Consider the following 20,336-nt stretch of genomic DNA (forward strand, 5'->3'; position numbering starts at 1 on the left):
GAAGCACAGAGTTAGATAATATAAAGGGTCTGGGCAGAGCATACCATCCTGCTTAAGCCTATGACTGCTGCACGCTAACACCCTAGAATCCCAGGTGCGGCCCCACCATAAAGCCTCCTCCTGAACAGTTCTTTAAAATCAGTGCAGGACTTTTCAAAATGCACATGTAGTCTTGTGTTAGAGCCAAATTTATATCTTATAGTCTAACACTTTATTTGATGTTTCAATTATATACATAAAAATATCATCAAGATATGAAGTCATACCACAATCATTACTATTTTATTTTTATCTACTTTTTATCACTAAAAATGCTCTAACATCTGGGATATTTTTCACTTTATTTTGAAACTTTAAACTTACAGGCAAAAAGTGTTATTTATAACAGAATACTTTTTTTAATTTTAAAAAAGTAACAATGTGACTGATACAGTCATTCAGAAAAGGATAAAAGTAATCAGACAAACCTTAGAGACTTACCAGGTGTGTTACTGAACTGCATGTTTTTAATTCTTTCATTTAATAATTGCTTCTCAGGTACCAGATAGATAAGCTTATTCTGATATTCCTTATAAAAAGAAAAAATAGTACCTGATTACAATGTTATAATATTGTCCAAGAGTTTTTTTTGAAAACTTTAAAACAGGATTTACTCATCTTTGAAACTTATTTTAGAAATAATACATAGTTGTAAACTGCTTACAACTTATGAATCAACTAGAATGGAATTATGCCAAGAAATATTTAAGCCAAAATCAATTTTGAGTGACTGGCTGAAATTAAAAGGCAGTGAAGAAAGCCTTTGTAAATGGGGTGTGTCTAGAAGCCTACAATTTTCAGCTTACTGATGAATGACAGCAGACCTGCGCTAGATGGTATGTGTAAGCATGCCATGATACTTCAGGATGAATATGTGTATATCAAAGAGGGACTAAAAGCTGGGTGCGGTGGCTCACACCTGTAATCTCAGCACTTTGGGAGGCCAAGGCAGGTGGATCACTTGAGGTCAGGAGTTCAAGACCAGCCTGGTCAACATGGTGAAACCCCGTCTCCACGAAAAACACAAAAATTAGCCAGGCGTGGTGGTGGGTGCCTGTAATCCCAGCTACTCAGAAGGCTGAAGCAGGAGAATTGCTTGAGCCTGGGAGGCAGAAGTTGCAGTGAGCTGAGGTCATGCCACTGCACTCCAGCCTGGGTGACAGAGGGAGGAAAAAATAAAAAGGACTAAAAACTAGGAAAGCAGGTTTAAATCAGACAGAAAATATTTTTGGCTTTTGTTTATCTCTCCTGTAACAAAGCAAAAAGACTGATTAATTGCCAGTCCATGCAGTAAGAGAAATTGGGTAAGAGAACTCTAGAGATGCAGAATGCTTCCACAGCCCCATTCTGCAAATAGTAATTATTGAACCAGACCCTACTGCACAAGTAAGGAAGAGAATTACCAGGACCCCAAGGGACATATTCAAGTTCTCATCATAATTTTAAAAAGAATAACTTTAAGTCAAAATTTCCTAAAATTAGTAGCAATAACCTTATTTTAATGTATGATATGGTCTGAATGTTGGTATGTCCCCAACATTCATATGTTGGAACCTAACTCCCAATGCAGTACTATTAAGAAGTAGGGCTTTAGGAGGCTCCACACTCATGAATGAGATGACTGTCCTTATAAAGGAAGTTGAAGGGACTGCCTTACCCTTTCTGCATGTGAAGACGCAGCAAGAAGGCACTAGTTTTAAAGGAGACAGCAAGCCCTCATCGGACACTGAATCTGCTAACACCTTGATCTTGGACTTCTCAGTCTCTAGAACTATGAGTAATAAATTTCTGTTGTTTATAAATTACCCAGTCTAAGGTCGTTTGTTATAGCAAGTAATGAATTAAGAATGCATAAACATTGTTAAAGAGTTAAAACTCAAAGTGATAAATGTCCACTTACGTATATATATTAAGCAAAACTTAACCAGACGTCTAGCAGAGTTTTAGTAGGTCTATGGACTTCCTGATATTGTATACAGGATTGCGTGTATTTAGATCACAAGCCTATCAAAGACTCAAGGTTATTGACCCCCAAAACAAAACTCTATTAGAAGAACTGTTTCGTTTTGTTTTGTTTTGAGATGGAATCTCGCTCTATCATCCATGCTGGAGTACAGTGGTGCGATCTGGGTTCACTGCAACCTCTGCCTCCCGGAATCAAGCGATTCTCCTGCCTCAGCCTCCCGAGTTGCTGGGATTACAGGCATGCGCCACCATACCCAGCTAATTTTTTTGTATTTTTAGTAGAGACGGGGTTTTGCCCTGCTGACTGGGCTGGTCTCGAACTCCTGACCTCAGGGGATCCACCCGCCTCAGCCTCCCAAAGTGCTAGCATTACAGCCGTGAGCCACCGTGCCCAGCCCAGAAGAACTATTAATTGTACATGTTTAAGAACAATTTAGCAGTGAAGGACTTACCTGAAGTTCCTGTTGAAGTTGCTTGATTTCCATAATTTCCAAGTCACACTGCTTATCCAGAACTTCCAGCTCAGTCTTTTGAGTTTGCTTTTTGAGTCGGACATCCTGAAGTCTGCCTGAGATCTGCTGATGTTTGCCATTCTATAGGAAGATCATATAAATATATAGTAACATAAAATGCTAATAGAAAATGTTTCTACAAGGAGAATAATATTTTTAGTTAAATTTTAAAATCTCAGTTATCATTCATATTCATCCTGAAACAAATGCCTAAAACCAAGTGGAATGTGTTTCAGAGTTGTGTCTGTTAACTCGAGTTATTAGTGGGAAACACATCATTCTCAGAGTGCAAGAGCCCATATGTTAGTATGGGAAAGCAGAAACATAACACATTGAATTTTTTTCTGAATTCAGCATTAGACAATATTAATTAACAATATTAATATCAGAGACACTCTCAAAGAATGATGAAGAGGAATAAATGTTTGCATGTGATGCTCGGCATTACCTTCTCTGAACTTCTATTTCTACCCTAAATATGGCCATCTAATTTCCTCTAATTAAAACAGTGCCCAGGAGGAACGTTTTGGCAACAGTTCTGTTCTATACTAATATTCTTCTCCTTTTTTCCTCTTCTTCTGTGAAGAAATCAAACAAATAGCAGAGATTCTCAATGGGACCTAAGAAGAAGGGTGACATGGGGGGTTATGGGCTGAACTGTGTCCCCCAAAATTCATATGTTAAAGTCCCAAGCCCCAGTACCTCAGAATGTGACAATATTTGGAGACAGGGCCTTTAAAGAGGTGATTAAGGTTAAACAAAGTCATACAGGTGGACCCTAATCCAATCTAACTGGTGTCCTTATTAGAGGTGGAAATCTGAACACAAAAGGCACCAGAGATAAAATACACTCAGAGAAAACACCATATAAGGACACAATGAAAGATGGCCACCTGCAAGCCACCAAAAGAGGCCTCACAAGAAACTAAGCCTAACTAACCTTGGTCTTAGATCTTAGGAGCTGTGAAAAAATTAATTTCTGTTGTTTAAGCCACCTAGCCTATCGTATTTTGTTACAGCAGCCCTACCAAACTAATACAGTGGAGTGAGGGGAAATGACATCCTGGGTTAAAACTTACTGATGATGAAAAGTTTTACTGAAGACTGTTTCATATTTGAAATACATACACTGAAAGGAACATGTGTATCTCTGCTGGAGCTCACATTCTTATCCTCAACATGGGATACGTATAGGCTCTGGACCTTTCCAGACTCTGCACATTCACCTGTGTTACTGTGCTTCATGTGTTGCACCAGTTCTTGAGGGAAAAACAATCAATCTTAAGGTCTCTTCCCATTATATATAGTCAAGATGATATATATATATAAAAATAGTGCAAGAGAGTTAAAAGTTTTTTACAACTGTTTTGTAGTACTCTGGCATGATTAATACTTGTGGTATGTATGTCTATCCATTTGAAGGAATAAAATAATATATTTCTGACTAAAGATATTGTGATGATTAAAAAAATAATTTTTAATGTAATTCAAGTCATCAACCAAATAAAATGTTAGACTATGATCACACAAGATCTAAATCTGGCTCTACTACATGACTAGGTATGCATTTTTGTAAAACCCTACTATATGATCAGGGTAGGCTCATGGGATTCTAGGGTTGTGGCAGAATAGTGCCAGATCTTTTATACCTTCTCACCACACATTTCAAACAAAGTCTTTTAACAACTTGACCCTCTAACATCTGATTGGTAAAAACTGCTTAGTGGCCAGTATTAGCTAAGAACTACAATCCTGCAGAACTGGAACTGTAAGAGATCATTTAGGTCAGCAGTTTCAAATCAGTTGTCTTTTTAATAGTAGAATCTTTTTTTTTCCAAGCAAATCTTGAGTGAAACCCCAAGAAACATAAAGCACATAAATGTCAAGCTTCTCTGTTGTGAAGCGTGGGAAGAATTAGGGAGAGAAAATCACTGTTCTGCTGCCCGAGCTTCCCCTCTCCTGCCTCTGCTTAGTCCTCCTCAGACCATCTTACAGAGACCAATCTGAAAACTGAAAATCACTCAACTAACACAACTCTTTATTTCAGACAAGGGAAAAGTGAGGCACAGAGAAGGGAAATGTCTTGCCCAGGAGTACATGGTTCATCAGTGTCTGAACTGATGCTACAACATAATTCTCAGCATTTTGAGTCATTATCCTTTTCTCAGTAAACCATATTGTACAGTCTGTTTATATGAAAATGTGACTAATGACATTAAGACATAACTAATTCACGAGAGATTTTAAAACACAATTACATTTTTCTTTTTTTTTTTTTTGAGATGGCGTCTCACTCTGTTACCTAGGCTGGAGTGCAGTGGTGCGATCTTGGCTCACTGCAACCTCCACCTCCTGGGTTCAAGTGATTCTCCTGCCTCAGCCTCCCAAGTAGCTAGGATTACAGGCACCCACCACCACCCACCACGGCCAGCTAATTTTTGTTTGTTTGTTTGAGACGGAGTCTCACTCTGTTGCCCAGGCTCGAGTGCAGTGGCGCGATCTCAGCTCACTGCAACCTCCGCCTCCCAGGTTCAAGCAATTCTTCTGCCTCAGTGTCCCAAGTAGCTGGGACTACAGGCGCACACCACCACTCCTGGCTAATTTTTGTATTTTTAGTAGAGATGGGGTTTCACTATATTGGCCAGGCTGGTCTTGAACTCCTGACCTCGTGATCCACCCACCTCAGCCTCCCAAAGCGTTGGGATTACAGTGAGCCACCATGCCCAGCCCACAGCTGGCTAATTTTTTTTTTTAGTAGAGATGGGGTTTCACCATGTTGGCCAGGCTGGTTTCAAACTCCTGCCCCAGTTGATCTGCCTGCCTTGGCCTCCCAAAGTGCTAGGATAACAGGTGTGAGCCACCACGCCTGGCCCACAATTACATTTTTCAACAGGTAGCTCCATCATCATTCAGATAAATTTCACTTAAACTTCAGCCATACCAGTGCTTCCAACTCAAGATGAAGATTCTTCTTTTTAGAGTTTAACCTGACAATTTCTTCTTGTTCTCTATTCTTTTGATTGAGAAGCTCCTGTCGCCGAATTCTCTCCCATTCTAAGCGACGTTGTCGTTCAAGTTCCTGTTTTGCTGCCTGAAAAAAAAAAGGAATTATACTTAATTTTTAAATCAAAAATTTTGCACGATTCAAAAACTGGGAAGACAACAATAAAAGTCAGGCAGAGTTTAGCACTTAGTGGCTTTAGTGCCTAAGGGTAGCTAGGCAAATCTAGTTTTATTAATGGGCTTAAAGACTTCCAAGAAAGTGGCTTCATCTATCATATTTTCTCATTTCTTCACGAGATCTTTTTTTTTTTTTTTTTTTTCCAGACAGCATCTTGCTCTGTCACCCAGGCTGGAGTGCAGTGGCACCACCTTGGCTCACTGCAACCTCCACCACCTGGGCTCAAGCGATTCTCCTGCCTCAGCCCCACCAAGTAGCTGGGATTACAGGCACACACCACCACACACCTGGCTAATTTTTGTACTTTTTGTAGAGAGAGGGTTTCACCATGTTGCCCAGGTTGGAAGACCATCCTTTTGTTACAGTCATTTTTCTCTTAATAAGTTACAGAATGACTTCATAAATATAAATGTTAACAGGAATAATTTTCCCTCTATTCTGGTATCTGGGGGAAAAATTCTATTTATATTATTTCAGTGTGCAATAACTTCCTGTGCTCCATCCCTGGCCCTTTAAAACACAGCCAGTCCTCCTAAGGACCCTTCTTTCCCAGCAACACTATCCCAAAGGCCTGTGCAAGCCCATCCTCTTGATTCCTCTCTAGAGAGACTTTCAATGCCCAGCTCTCATCTTTCTGTCTCTCCAATTCCTTGGACTCTTAATCTGGATCTTAAACTTGCTTTCGTCTAATGACTTGCTCAGTTGCCTAACTAACCTTAGCTCCTCACTCAACTTAGCTCTGCAGTCGATCCTCCTTTGATTGAGATATCACCTGCAGAGGATGCTTTCTCTACCACGTACCAGTTCTGAAAACTCCTTATAAGCAAGAAGCCTCTTTCCCTCCTCAAGGGAAGGAATGATCAGATTTGTATAGGGTAAGAATGAAATGATGCAGAGCAAAAGGCAAAACAAAAATTCAAAAATAAGCATTTTTTAATCAAATGAAATATAGTCACTTATTAAATGTAATGATTTTCTTAAGAAGTAAAAAACTTAAAAATAACCTCTCGTCTTTCTATGTCTTTTCTCCTTTCTTCCTCTCGTTGTCTCTCCAATTCCCGTTGCTTCTCTAAGCGTTTTTCTAATTCAAGTTGTTTCTTCCATTCTTGTTCTTGTAATTCTCTCTGTTTTCGTTCCCACTCTTCCTTTTCTTTCTGGGCTTTACGTTCTGCCTCCCTTTGTTGCTGCTCCATCAAGGCTTGGCGTCGCTTTTCCAGCTCCATGTTCCCTCGCTCATAGTTGGCTTTCCGTTTGTCCTCAAAAGTAACTGAACAAGGTATGCCTATCAGCATCCACACACATTAACAGCCTACAGAACCTGTAATCTAGTTTCTATATACTTATGCCTTGTGATCATTTGAGTGCTATCAGTATTTGAATACTTCTCCTAAGGATAATTTTAACTCAAATCTAAGTGGAAAAATATCTACTTTCTTCAAGGATATTCAATTTTAGAAAAACAAATTTTTAAGTTTGAATCCAATCAAGAGAGAAATAATTTTTATAAACTTGCCAATAAAAATACTTTTTCGGTTGGGTGTGGTGGCTCATGCCTGTAATCCCAACACTTTGGGAGGCCAAGGTGGGCGGATCACCTGAGGTCAGCAGTTCAAGACCGGCCTGGCCAACACGGTGAAACCCCATCTCTACTAAAAATACCAAAAATTAGCCAGGCATAGTGGCAGGCACCTGTAATCCCAGCTACTCAGGAGGCTGAGACAGGAGAATCGCTTGAACCCAGGAGGCGGAAGTTGCAGTGAGCCGGGATTGTGCTGTTGCACTCCAGCCTGGGCAACAAGGAAAAAAAAAAAAAACTTTTTCAACTTTTTTCTCTTCTTCAAGGACAATCAAAGCTGTGTGGTTATACATTTGTTTTGATGTCATTAACATCCTAATATATTAAAACAGCTACAAATGTATTCTTTCAACCAATATTTAAATGTTTTTAAAGGTAAAGATTTCATTACAAAGTTTCCTCTAATAACTCAGCCTAAATTAGGAGAAATACTTTAACTCAGATGTCTATAATCCTGTCAAATACATCTAACTGTCTCTTCTTCCTTCACACTCTTCTCATTTTGACCATCTTAATTTTATCAATACCAAAATACATCCCATCTATCAAATAGTTTTTTCTCATATAGCACATCAAATATTAAAAATATAAAAATTCTAAATATTCCATTACATTTAAAGGTAGAATTTAAAAGAACTCAGTATAAATATACAACTTTGACACTCAGTGATACCTGGTAATTTCTTCTGAGGCTCCTCTTCTTGCATTTTCTGATATGAAGGCAGAGTTCCATTAATGGAATCAATTTGCTTTCCTCCTCTAAAAAAATCAAACAACAAAGTTAGCATCATGTAGTCTGGACATTTTCAGACTAGATTACACAGACTACCAGTGATTATGGCAATTTGATATTGGGAATACAGTATTAAAGATATTTAAAACAGTTTGGTATGTCGTTACAAAATACAGTAGTATATGGATATTCAAGACAGAGAAATCTGGATTCAAATCACAGTTCAGCTAATTTTGGTTCTTGGGCAAGTTTTTCTTTATCTCTTTAGTCATTAGCCTCCTTATGTATAACATAATGAAAACACATCCACTTCTTTTTTTTTTTTTTTTTGAGGCAGGGTCTTGCTCTGCTGCCCAGGCTAGAGTGCTGTGGCATAATCACAACTTACTGTAGCCTTGAACTTCTATGCTCCAGTGATCCTCCTGCCCCAGCTTCCAGAGTACCTAGGACTACAGGCGCACACCACCACACCTGGCTAATTATTTTTATTTTTGTAGATACGGGGTCTCACTATGTTGTCCACGCTGGTCCTGAACTCCCGGCCTCATGTGATCCTCCCACCTTGGCTCCCAGTGTTATGATTACAGGCGTAAGCTGCCACGCCTGGCCCACACCTACTTCTAATATGTACCCTTTTCAAGTATAACTTGTTGAATACTAAAATCAATGGCAGTGCAAATATTTAACTCTCTTCTAAATCACATCTGCCAAGTTATCAAAACCATAGTTCTCCACCTCCAGGCACACTCACCTGAAAGATGGAGGAACAAGCTCAGGAGGTAAAGTCAGTGGTAATGGCTGTCCAGCTTTGGCCATGTCAGTAAGGTGCATTGCAAGAATAAACTCTTCTGCTTTTAGCTGTCCATCACCATCAACGTCAGCCAGAGTCCTAAAGAAAATGTTAAAATTCACAACTTAATAAAGTCTATTTGGAGTAAAATATTGCCTTAAAAGTTCAATTTTTATTTTACTTTTATTTATTTATTTATTTATTTATTTATTTGAGATGGAGTCTAGCTCTGTCGCTCAACCTGGAGTGCAGTGGCGCGATCTCAGCTCACTGCAAGCTCCGCCTCCCGGGTTCACGCCATTCTCCTGCCTCAGTCTCCCGAGTAGCTGGGACTACAGGCGCCCGCCACCACGCCTGGCTAATTTTTTGTATTTTTAGTAGAGACGGGGTTTCACCGTGTTAGCCAGGATGGTCTCGATCTCCTGACCTCGTGATCCGCCCGCCTCAGCCTCCCAAAGTGCTGAGATTACAGGCGTGAGCCACCTGGGCCCGGCCAATTTTTTATTTTTAAAAGAAGGATAATGATGGTAAAACTGCTGGGTACACTTATTTTAGTGAAATGTAAATACGTACATTTACGTAACTCACTATTGAATGTAAGTATGTAAGTATGTACTTCAATAGTGAATTAATTTTTTACCGTTGATTTTCAAGACATAAAAGAGAGGGAAGAAACTTTGAAACAGAAAGAGAAGTAACTACCCCTTCTGAGAAAGTGGCTTGTCTTACTCCATGGTTAATTCACCTACCAAATCACATTTACCTATATTAAAAACAAGATATTCTCTGATTCTCCATAGAAGGGATTAGATGAAAGAAAACAACAGTTTTTCTAGTAAAATATAGTCATGAACTGCATAATGACATATCAGTCAACAATGGACTGCATTTATAATGGTGGTCCCATAAGATTATAATGGAGCTGAAAAATTCCTACCACCTAAGGACACTGTAGCTGTCATAAAGCAACGCATTACCTATGTGTCTGTGGTGATGCTAGTCTGAACAAACATACTGCACTGCCAGCTGTAGAAAAGTACAGCATATACAATTATCTACAGTACATACACTCAATAACAATAAACATCTGTTAATATATTACTGGATTATGTATTTACTATACTTTATTTTTATTGTTATTTTAGAGTATACTCCTTCTACTTACAGAAAAAAAAAAGTTAACTGTAAGACAGCCTCAGGCAGGTCAGTCAGGAGAAATTCCAGAAGGCATTGTTATCATAGGAGACAATGGCTCCATGCGTGTTATTGCCCCGAACACCTTCCAGTGAGACAAGATGTGGAGGTAGAAGATAGTGATACTGATGATCTTGACCCTCTACAGGCCTAAGCTAATGGGTGTCTTTGTGTCTCAGTTTTTACCGAAAGTTTAAATAGTAAAAATAAATTTTAAAAACAAGAAAGAGCTTAAAGAATAGGATATAAATATCTTTCTGTACAATGTGTTTGTGTTTTAAGCTAAGTGTTATTACAAGAGTCAAAAAGTTTTAAAAAATTAAAAGGTTTACAAAGTTAAAAAGTTATTGTATGCCAAGATTAATCTATTGTTGAAGAAAATATTTTTTGTAAATTTGGTGTAGCTTAAGGGTACAACAACATTCTGCACAATTACATTTGCCTCCAAGCTTAATACTAACTTTCAAATGGCTGCTTTTATAGAGCATCTCTGAGTCACAAACTTTTACAGAAACAGTATCTTTCTTGTAATAGGGGAGAGAGAGTTTAATTAATTAATGCATAGTTAAATTAATCAAATGTAATTAAGGGACAAACTTACCAAATAGTAGCCAGCTGAGTTTGAGAAAGATTTGACTGAAGAAGGGCATTTCTAGCTTGAAAACCTGATTAAGTGGGGAAAATCATAAAGGAATTCTTTAGCATCTTTAAAGTTATGCATAACAAATTAGCTGTATCTGTAAAATAACAATGCTACCAGGGTATCCTGGGAACTTTTAACATCAAAATGTTTTTACCACGTGCTAGGTGCTAAGCATTCAGTAGCAATTAAACCCAGTCACTGCCCCAAGGAATTTTAAATCTAGAATTAGCAGTATCAAGTGCTGTCCCCTGTCTTTTCAGCAAGATAATAATACACACAAGTGGCTAACGTGAAAGAACAAGATATCAGGCACACAGAGTATCAGAGGCCAAGACTGTGGGCCCTCTTGTACTCCCAGCAGGTGCAGCACTTCCCACTCCTACGTGACTGAGCCGTGAGTAGCAGAAGAGTCAGGCGCTACTCTGGGTTCAGCCTGAGTCAAGGCCTGTCCAAAACAACTCTTACACAAGAGATTACATCTGCCAACACTGCCTCAGCAACAGCTCCAACTACAACAAAAGCCAGCCAAATGCAGCTAGATTTATTGTCCCACTAGGCTTTCAACATAGGACTTGATAATCAAAGCAACCATGTATTACAACATGCAGCTAAATGTTTATATTTTATAACTTTTAAAATATTTTCATTCTATTTTTTTAATCTGGACATTTAACATAAATCACATAAAAACACTGGAAATTAAACTCACAGCCTCGCCCTATTAATTACTCCTCAGATTTCACTTAGGAAATTTGATTTGAGGAGGTCTTTGTGTTAAAAGGAAGATTCTTCTAAATAAGAGAGATGGAAGGCTATTTCAAACCTGAAAAAAAGTTCAAAACTACTATTTCAGCTTTTGGACCGAAAAAAGATCCTTTTGGACTGAAAGAAGATCCCTTAGCATCAGGCAATAGAGCAAACAGAAGAGAGAAGGAGGAGGAATGTAAATGGTTAAAAATCATACTCGTGGAGGGCTTTATATGTGTGAGGCAAAGTCTGAGTAATACAAAGGGCCATAGAGAGCCAACAGAGTATCTTACTTACTAAGTAAAACTCATTTGAACATGTATGTACACTCTTAGTCGGCCAAGCCTCTGGATATCCTATATCCTCTGCTTAGAATGCCAGACCCTCAATTCTTTACTTTGTAGTCTATCCTCTGAAATCTGGCTCTAATCTCTTTTCTTCTGTGAAACATTCTCTCTTATATCCTTGGAGTTAGTCACTTTCTCATCTATATTAATCACAGCACTTTTAAACAAGTAACCAAACACCTTGATTACATGAGCTCTTCATTATATGGGCTCTTCAAAGATATGAACCATGTCTTGCCCCTGTCTGTATTCCTGTGCCTAAGAGAGTGCCCAGAAAGTATGTGATTCAGGAAACAGTTACATCAATGACTTGATCTAAATAAATTTTTAAAAACTATGTTTAGGGGGAGGAGAAGAGAAGTAAAAAAGGGAAAAACAGACCAGTGGACAGGCGCGGTAGCTCACGTCTGTAATCCCAGAACTTTGGGAGACCAAGGCGGGCGGATCACCTGAGGTTGGGAGTTCGAGACCAGCCTGGCCAACATGGCAAAACCTGTCTCTACTAAGAAAAATTAGCTGGGCGTGGTGGCGTGTGCCTGTAGGAGGCAGGAGAATCGCTGGAACCCGGGGAGGCAGAGGCTGCAGTGGGCCAAGATCGCACCACTGCACTCCAGCCTGGGCAACAGAGCAAGACTCTGTCTCAAAAAAAAAAAAAAAAAAAAAAAAAGGATCACCAACTCCTACACTTATTGAACAAAACAAACATATAAGTCCAGGTTAGCCTCATCCTCATGTTCTTGGGGCTCATGCTCAGCTTAAGGACACCAGCAGCAACTACTCTTTTTATAGAAAACCTTGTCTTTACCTACAGATATATAGCTTTACCCTTGTAGGTCTCAGAATAATAATGACATTCCCTAAAAAACACCATAATACACAACCTTCGTACAATGTGACATATACTAATGAAGTAACATTAGGGATCACTTCCCCACAGTTGGCTCCCCATTCACTGCCCTTCATATTCCAATGCAAAATCACCTCTGTTTATACTGTTATAGTTACAGTACTTATACAAAGCGTACTACTCTTAAGTGTGCTGCCTAATAATTTTTTCTTTTTTGAGACGTAGTCTAGTTCTGTCACCCAGGCTGGAGTGCAGTGGCATGATCTCAGCTCACTGCAACCTCTGCCTCCCAGGCACAAATAATTCTGTTGCCTCAGACTCCAGAGTAGCTAGGATTACAGGCGTCCACCACCACGCCTGGTTAATTTTTATATTTTTAGTAGCGATGGGGTTTCACCATGTTGACCAGGCTGGTCTCAAACTCCTGACCTCAAGTGATCCGCCCGCCTCAGCCTCCCAAAATGTTGGAATTACAGGTGTGAGCCACTGCACCCGGCCTGCCTAATGAATTTTTACACAGGTATGCACATACACACCTGTATCAAGATGCAGAATGTTTCCAGCAACTCAGAAGGTTTGCACATGGCCCCTTCCCCACACAGTAACCACATTATTCTGATTTCTATCACCATTAATTAGGTTTCCTGTTCTTCAGCCTCATATAAATGGGTTAAATGGTATGGTCCTTTTGGGCTGCTTTCATTCAATACCATACCTGTGAAAGTCATTCATGTTGTTGCAGGTATCAGCAGTTCATTTGGTTTTATCGCTTTAAAGTATTCTGTTATGTAAATATACTGTCATTTATCTATTCTCCTGTCGATGAACATTTAGGTTGTGAACATTTTTGTAAATGTCTTTTTCATCAACTTTTGTTCAGTTGAAAACAAATAACTTCTTTTTATTAGAGAGATGGGGTCTCACTATGTTGCCCAGGCTGGACTCTTGGGCTCAAGCAATCCTCTTGCCACATCCTCCCAAGTAGTTGGGACTATAGGCACATGCCGCTATGCCTAGCAAAGATAAACTTTTTTTTTTTTTTTGAGACAGAGTCTCGTTCTGTTGCCAGGCTGGAGTGCACTGGCGCAATCTCGGCTCACTGCAACCTCCGCCTCCTAGGTTCAAGCAATTCTCCTGCCTCAGCCTCCAGAGTAGCTGGGACTACAGGTGTGCACCACCATGCCCAGCTAATTTTTGTATTTTTAGTAGAGACGGGGTTTCACCATGTTGGCCAGGATGGTCTCGATCTCTTGACCTCATGATCTGTCTGCCCCAGCCTCCCAAAGTGCTGGGATTACAGGCGTGAGCCACCGCACCTGGCCAAAATTAACTTTTTAAATGCAAAATGTAGGGTACAAAGAAGTTAATTTTTTCAAAGAATAGGAATTATGACTTTATATTAATCTCCAGTATGGTTCAATACCATATTTCACAGAATCTAAAATTCCACTGGCTATAAGACATACTATTATTTTATGAATAAGAAAGAAAGCACTGCTAATAAAACTATGACACAGTGCTAAGACATCACTAATTGTAGCACACATCCTAATTTTAGAGACATTAAAATGTAAAAAAAAAAAAGTGTCAAAAAAGCATACCTTGTTTCATGCAATTTGATAAAATTACAGAAAATCTTAGTTATGTAATATGAAATACATGTAAAAATACAAAGTATATATGTAAGCTAAGAAGTATAATAGGTCACCCGTGAACCTACCACCCATCTTAAGAACTAGATTACTACTAAATGCCTTGAATCTATCCGTGTTCCTTGACTTATCCCCATGCTTCCACAAGAGGTAACCACTATCCTGAATTTTGTATGCATAATTCCCTTGCTTTAAAAAATAGTTATCACATAGGTATGTATCTTTAAATAAAATACTGTATATTTTTGCTTGTCCAATCGATTCCAAAAGTCTTACTGCTCGTTCCCTTGCCTCTCTGCATAACTACAGACCCTGGACTCCTATTTCACAGACTACTTTTCATTCTCCAAATAGGCCATGTATTTTTTGCTCTTAATTTCTCCTTTGTCACCATCAAATGCCCCCACGTTCAATCTCTGTCGAAATCCTAACTTTTTCATGGAGCTTAAATGCTCCCTTCCTAAAAGATACCTCATCTGAACTCTTCAGCTTCAATATATCTCATTCTATGTTCCTTAGCACTTAAAGCTCTATTATTTTTAAACACTTATTTTACTCGGTCCTAAATCATAATTTCTTGCTGAGTGAAGAGGGAGTGGGAAAGTTAGAAGGTGGGAACTCTACTTGCCTATTACCCTCTGTTTATGTCTCCTTTGCTGTTCTCAATTAGTACAGTTCAGATGATGTTCTGGCCTGGACTCAAATGTTTTACAGTGAACTAAGGCCAAGTTTTACAGTCACATTTGGGTTAGAGCATTAAAGGGTGAGCAATGCTCACTTGAGGTTATATAAACAGAGAAAAAGCCCAATGCAGAGGAGGATTCTCAGGAAAAGTGAGCTGAGGCTAAGTTCCACACACTCTCTCTTGTGACCCGTGGCTCTCCATTCACTGCAAAGCTTAGAGGATGAGGTCTGATCTTAAGGGACAGGTCTTTTGCCAAAAAGTTGGGGGTATATCTGGTGCCCGACTTGACAGTAAGAACTTTGAAGAAAGCAATCAAGTTGAATCCATCTTTGAATCCTTATACAACTTCAGGTATTTGTATTTATCAAATGCCTGCTAAATTTTTTGGATGTTAAAATGTCAGATGAGCTACACAATACAAATTCAAATGACAGTTCTTCAGTGGAAGTCCACATAAAAGACCCTTTTTCATGCTCTTCAGCACTGTATGCTGCTTACCTGAGAGATATCCACTCATACTTTTGTCAAGAGTATTAAATTTTTGCCGATATTTTAATCTTGTAGGCTGAGGAACTGCCCACTCTGAGGTCCCAGTCTTGGGTGAGTTCCCTGAGAGTGAAGCAGTCGAGGAAGTTGAGCTATAAAAAAATTTATTTAAAATTTTTATGTTACTAAATAAAATATATTTAATTAAATTTTATAAGACCAAGGCATTAAGAATCTTATATACCAGGGGTCCTGAACCCCCGGGCCACCGACCTGTTAGGAACCGGGCTGGACAGCGGGGCTCGGTGAGTGGCAGGTGAGTGAGCACTACTACCTGAGCTCCAGCTCCTGTCCAGTGAGCAGTGGCATTAGATTCTCATAAGAGTGCAAACCCTATTGTGAATGGCACATGTGAGGGACCTAGGTTGGATGCTCCCTTTGAGAATCTAATGCCTGATGATCTGAGATGTAACAGTTTCATCCTAAAACCATTGCTTCAAGTCTGTGAAAAAACTGTCTTCTATGAAACCAGTCCCTGGTACCAAAAAGGTTGAGGATCGCTGTTACATACTATAATGGTGACTGCCTTTTCTCTTTTTCTGGGGAGGAGACAGAGTCTCGCTCTGTTGCCAGCCTGGAGTGCAGTGGCACAATCCTGGATCACTGCAACCTCCACCTCCCGGGTTCAAGCAATTCTCCTGCCTCAGCCTCTCAAGTAGCTGGGACTACAGTCACATGCCACCACGCCCGGCTAATTTTTTTGTGCGCATTTTTAGTAGAGACAGGGTTTCACCATGTTGCCCCAGGCTGGTCTCGAACTCCTGAGCTCAGGCAATCCGCCCACCTCAGCCTCCCAAAGTGCTGGGATTACAGGCGTGAGCCACTGTGCCTGGCCAATGGTGACTGCTTTTGCATTTTACATTTTTTTAAATTTTAAGCAATTATCACTATTCTTAGTAAAGCAAAGACCATAAGAAGTATAGAACTCCATGAGACTACCGCATATAAAGAACCTGCTCTGTGCCAGACCTTATATTGTACTAAGGCCTTTACAAATATTTCTAATCCTCCCAACAAACTTAAAAAATACTACAGTCCCCATCTTTTAGATGGGTAAACTATGGCTCAGCGATGTTAAGAAAAAACAAGGCCACAGAATCAGTGAGTGTTCAAGCTAGGATATGAATGTTGTTCTTCTGGGTCAAATCTAACACTCTCCGTACACTACCCTGAAGAGTATAATAGTGATTTATATGAAGGGTGATTAATGTAATGAATACTGATGCATTTGTGCTTTGTAAAATTTAAAAGATATCCAATTAGTAGAATCTGCTCAAGAAAGAAATTAACAATGTACAATGAGTATGAGACATCTTGGGAAATATACACATTTTTTAAAGGAAAAGTACACAGCTTTAGGCAAAGAAAAAATTAAAATATAGAATATTTTTAGTTTACATGAATTATTTTTTCAAAAGTAAAATGCCACAGACACTTAATAATTCTAAAAATAAAAAATTTATTTTATGTGAGTTGTAAGTAGTAAATTTACCTTAAGTATTTGTACTTGGCCATTATAAAGTAAAACTTAGGTAAGCTCAAAGCTTTAAAAAAATCATTTGTTAAATAAAGACTTCTTACTGAAAGCATAAAAAGTTGTCAGAGTTAGCTATTCATACCTACTAGATCCTAAATCAATCAGAGACTGCGCTTTCTGTATACTAGCACCTCCAAATCCTCCCATCATCAGACTATAAGATGACCCATGAGGCAATGCTAAAAAAGAAAAAGAAGGAAAAGTATGAAAGAAATTTGTATCTGTTCAAACACAAATAGTTTCTTTCTTTACATGAAATAATGACTCTTTAGAAACAAAGTACTCACTTGAAGAAGAATAAGGAATGGGTAAAGGCTGAATGAGACTGGCGGTTCCATTTGGTAATGATGATGTGCTAACAGAAGGCACTAGGGGAGTGGGCATCATTAAGGGAGGAAGGTTGGTCCCTGAAGTCGCAGAAGACAATGATGTTATAGGTGCAGCTGGAGGCAATGGCTGAGGAATGGACAGATTGGGCATGCTTCCCATTCCTAAAGTCAAAAGAAAACATTTTTTCCAGTGCTAGAAAATCAATTATAAAACACATGCAAAAAACAAGTTTACAGTACAGTGGGCAGACTCTATGTTTACCAAAACACACAGATGAATTATCCTTAAAAAACTCACTACTTTGACCCAGCAGTGAGGGAGGTAAACTGCTGCTCTTAATACTAATACTCTGATCTGTATGAACTAAGAAAACACCTAGCAAAGAGTTAAATATTCTCCTCTCTCATCATGAATAAAACTAAGCAGCCTTTTCCAATTGAATATGAGTCTCCTCAAGGAAAGAATACATTACCAGATCAAATGAGGTTTTTGTGAAAGGATAATACAGTGCTACTAAGTTACTTGACTAATACACACACACACACACACACACACATTCTTCTTCTCTCTCTCTCTCACATACTCCCCCCAAACAAAAAGGTTCTAAGTAGTAGATACTTTATGAGATCCATTTATGCATATGCATTATTTGCAAGAAAGTGTGTCACATATTTTACTTTTCTTGTAAGTAACATTCCTATGAATTCAAGGACGAGTTCTTAAAAGGAACAAAGTGATGACTTTTATTCATTTATTAACTGCAGAATACTTATAAATATGGTCACACAATGATTTAGTATTTATCTTTAGAATTCACTAAAATAGTGAAATAATTTTGTGGAGTCTGTTGTTTGTTTGAGATGGGGGTCTCACTATGTTGCCCCGACTAGAATGAAGTGGCTATTCACAGGTGCGATCATAGCACAGTACAACCTCAAACTCCTGGACTCAAGCAATCCTACCCATAGCCTCCCAAGCAGCCAGAACTACAGGCACACACCCCTATAACCAGCTCTAGAATTCTATATTCTAAGATCTGTAGTGAAGGAACATGTTTCAGATACATAGACATACCTAATTGAATGTTCCATTCAAAATGAGTGCTTCTCACATATAATTATAAGAAATTGCCTGATCAAAATTAACAGAAAACATACCAACCGGTTATCGCTGATGAATACGTGAACTTATTAGCCCAAAGTCTGCAACTTTTGGCCCTAAATTTAGCTGGCTAATTAACCTTTAAAAAAATTCAACTTACATAAAATTTTAAATTATCTCCCAAATCGAACCATTTCAAGTGAGTTTAAAACTGCTCAAAATTTTTTCTGTATTACTCACATATATATAGAGAGAGAGGAAACTAAGAATAGTATTTGGGATTGGCTATACCTAGGGAGACCATATAATTCATCACGCAACTAGGAGTTGTAAAAGGAGACACTAACTGGACCAGATGCCAGGACAAAAGGCATAAATCAGAACTGTCCCTAGAAAACCAGAACACATGGATCCCCTACCTGTGACAGTGAATTTAATATTTATTATCTCTAACATGAAAATTAACTTGGAATCTGGGGACTGTCATTTTGTGCTAACAAATCCTTTTCTAATACTCAAATATGCCTAGGGATAAAGTTTAAGTAGCAAATACAGGTATTTAAATTAATACATACTTACCAAAACGAGCAGAAATTAATGGAGAAAACATAGGGGGTTGCTTCATAATAGGAGGGAGAACCACAGGCAACTGTTGGCCTTGAAGCTTCAGTTTGATGAGTTTCATAGCTATGGAGAACTCTTGCTGATCCATCTTCCCATCCTTGTTTAGGTCTGATAAAGCCCTAAAAGGAGCATGAGGTAGGTAGATTGCTATGTGGTGTGGTGGTGGGAAAACTAACGTTATTTTGGGGATTGACAAAGTAAAAATGATGATATGGCATTCACGTGTACATCATCACTAAATTTAAAATATCTAACATGTAAAATATATAATAACAAAAAGATAAAACCTACACTTTAAGAAATACTGACCAGAGATAATAACTAATAAAACACTGCCTGTCAAAACAGAATCTAGAGACCTTTGGGCTGAATTCCACCAGTTTAGGTAGAAAAAAATTCAAGATTATAATACTTCTAAATTTAATTTATTCATCTGTCCAAATATTTACTGAATACTTGCTATGTGCCTCGTACTCTACCAGGCATGAGAATATTCCAAGTGGAAAGATGGGACAGGGGTTGTTACTTATTGTAAACGTTTTTAAAAAAACAGATATTATAGAGAATAGTTTCTTTAAAGAAGGAGCAGGGGAAGCGAGGACTAATTTGGGGTTTATAGATTATGAAATAAATGAAACTACAAAATAACAGAAAGAGGATTTTGAGATTCTGCCAAATTATAAGGAAATTTTTCTCAATGATAATGTATATATCTTTCCTTAGAAAATTCTAATGAAATTAGAAATTTGTCCTAGAGAACTAAACCTGAATTATTTTCAATAATTTGCTCAATAAAATTTATTTTCCAAAAAACTGAAGAAATACCTTTTTTTTTTTTTTTTTTCTAAAGAGAGTCTCATTCTGTCATCCAGGCTAGGGTGCAGTGACACAATCATAGTTCACTGCAGCACTGAATTCCTGGGCTCAAGCAATCCTTCCATCTTGGCCTCCCTGAGTAGCTGGGACTAGAGGTGTGGCCACCACACCCAGCTAATTTTTTTTTTAATTTTCTGTAGAGACAGGGTTCTCACTATGTTGCCCAGCCTGGCCTCAAGCAATCCTCCTACCTCAGACTCCCAAAGTGCTGGCAGAAATATTCTTAATAACCAATAGAATGCAACTAAAAACAATTTTATGTTAACACTATATTACAAAAAAACAAAATACTATCAGAAAATTAGGTTCATCTACAAAACACTTTACCATATTTCAGCTAAAACAGGGGCCGGCAGACCTGATTGTAGGAAAAAATTACGTGCTTGATCACCTGGAGGTAATAAAAACAAA

The 20,336-nt window shown here is 38.5% G+C and overlaps 1 protein-coding gene across 27 annotated transcripts in view; it reads right to left on the bottom strand.

Moving 5' to 3' along the window:
• The window catches only part of ITSN2 (intersectin 2), a 158,505-nt gene that overhangs the window by 90,344 nt on the left and 47,825 nt on the right, over positions 1–20,336 (bottom strand). For all 27 annotated transcript variants that reach the window (XM_047444586.1, XM_047444582.1, NM_001348182.2 and 24 more), the window contains 12 exons: positions 20,253–20,316; positions 19,005–19,168; positions 17,282–17,485; positions 17,077–17,173; positions 15,410–15,549; positions 10,592–10,655; positions 8,758–8,895; positions 7,947–8,032; positions 6,702–6,964; positions 5,458–5,607; positions 2,457–2,597; positions 481–568 (listed from right to left, as the gene is read on the bottom strand). In XM_047444586.1, the coding sequence (XP_047300542.1) occupies positions 481–568; positions 2,457–2,597; positions 5,458–5,607; positions 6,702–6,964; positions 7,947–8,032; positions 8,758–8,895; positions 10,592–10,655; positions 15,410–15,549; positions 17,077–17,173; positions 17,282–17,485; positions 19,005–19,168; positions 20,253–20,316 (1,599 nt within the window). The remainder of the gene's footprint in view (positions 1–480; positions 569–2,456; positions 2,598–5,457; positions 5,608–6,701; positions 6,965–7,946; positions 8,033–8,757; positions 8,896–10,591; positions 10,656–15,409; positions 15,550–17,076; positions 17,174–17,281; positions 17,486–19,004; positions 19,169–20,252; positions 20,317–20,336) is intronic.

Source organism: Homo sapiens, chromosome 2 (assembly GCF_000001405.40).
Source record: "Homo sapiens chromosome 2, GRCh38.p14 Primary Assembly".
In the NCBI taxonomy this organism is placed as follows: Eukaryota; Metazoa; Chordata; class Mammalia; order Primates; family Hominidae; genus Homo; species Homo sapiens.